This window comes from Homo sapiens, chromosome 10 (assembly GCF_000001405.40).
Source record: "Homo sapiens chromosome 10, GRCh38.p14 Primary Assembly".
Classification (NCBI taxonomy): Eukaryota; Metazoa; Chordata; class Mammalia; order Primates; family Hominidae; genus Homo; species Homo sapiens.
In genome coordinates this window covers 46696410-46698377 of record NC_000010.11, presented here as the reverse complement: position 1 = coordinate 46698377, position 1968 = coordinate 46696410, and positions in this window count along the sequence as shown.

Below are 1968 nucleotides of genomic sequence, written 5' to 3'. Positions count from 1 at the left end.
CCAACACAGTGTCTGTGCTTCAGTGTTCCTCTTATCAGGAAGGATAATATGTGTGATGCATGGACTAACTCTAATGAAAATTTTTATTCTTAAGACACAAAATATTTCCCAGCACAGTACATAAGGTCTTTGTGCTTATGTCAGCATTGGAGATAAATTTCTGGGAAAGAAGTAGAGAAACTGCTCATTTCTATAGACATCAAAACACCAAAGTAGCCGGGCGCGGTCACTCATGCCTGTAATCCCAGCACTTTGGGAGGCCGAGGCGGGCAGATCACCTGAGGTCAGGAGTTCAAGACCAGCCTCAACATGGAGAAACCCCGTCTCTACTAAAAGCACAAAAAATTAGCCGGGCATGGTGGTGCATGCCTGTAATCCCAGCTACTCGGGAGGCTGAGGCAGAAGAATTGCTTGAACCTGGGAGGTGGAGGTTGCAGTGAGCCGAGATCGTGCCATTGCACTCCAGCCTGGGCAACAAGAGCAAAACTCTGTCTCAAAAAACAAAACAAAAAAAACAACCAAAGTAAAAGTGAAAATAAAGGTACACAGCAGACTTTTTCTTTTTAAATACCTAAACTGAAAAGTATACCTGTCAAGAAACATCCAACTCATGAATTACTTTAAATATGTTTTTAAAACAGCGTGCTTGTTTTATAACAATAGATTCATGCTAGTTATCTGATATTCCCCAGTGGTTGCTTTGTGGAGCTCAGTGTCATCCTTGGAGAACATGGGCAATAAAAAGCATTTCTTCTGCACCAGTAAGACAAAAACAAACTGACTACTTCTCACATAAACCTTGGAGGGCTTCCCTCAGTGGGGTTAGTGATCAGCAAATCATGTCAAATAACCCCTTTTGTTATTTTTGACATAATAGTGTTCCTAGCAGACAGTACTCAAGAATTCCCAGATTCTTAGCTGTAACATAAATTTAATATACTCTCTTTTATTAAAAGTCAAGCTGTTTATTCACAGTAGCTCTTAGGTCTACGTTTCATTTTACACATATATGTGGATGTAATAGCTTTTTCCTTAGAACTTTTAAAAAATAGAATTCAGTAAAAGTCCTATATTTGTATTTTCTATGTGTCAAGAACAGATAAGCATCATTAATGTGAACCAAATTTCAATTGAGGAGCTGAAATTAGGAAGAATTGAAAAACACCTGAAATAAATCTTCAAGTAATAAAGGGGAAAGTTTACTTTAGAATTAGTGTATCAAAAATGAGAAAATTGGCTGGGCGCAGTGGCTCACGCCTGTAATCCCAGCACTTTGGGAGGCTGAGGCATGCAGATCACCTGAGGTCAGGAGTTCAAGACCTGCCTGGCCAACATGGTGAAACCCTGTCTCCACTAAAAATACAAAAATTAGCCGGGCATGGTTGTACATGCCTGTGGTCCCAGCTACTCGGGAGGCTGAGGCAGGAGAACCGCTTGAACCCCGGAGGCAGAGGTTGCAGTGAGCCGAGATCACACCACTGCACTCGAAACTCGGTGACAGAGCGAGACTCCATAAAAATCAATCAATAAATCAATCAATCAATCAATAAAACTTTTTAAAAAGTCATTGCATTATTTTTAAAAAATTAATAGTTTCAAAATGTATACATGTAAAATCTAACTGGGAATACTTTGTATCTACTTGTAGCACAAGATTAAATTTATTTTCAATTACTAGGAGATTTGCACAATAGAGTATATATTTACTTTAATCTGTATGACTAAAAGCCTCATTGTCAATGTGACTATGTCATCATTATCACATTCATGAATCTCCTGATTATAACCTGCACAGATGGTCTACCTACAGGGCTCTGGGATAAGAAACTTGCTGTCTGTCTACAGAGGAAGCCGTTTTCACTTCCAGATAGTTCTGAATATTTGCAAGTACTTGCTGATTTAGAGTCAAATTATGTCTTGCTGTAACATCCATGTTACTGAACTTACATTTGAGATAAACCAAGATTA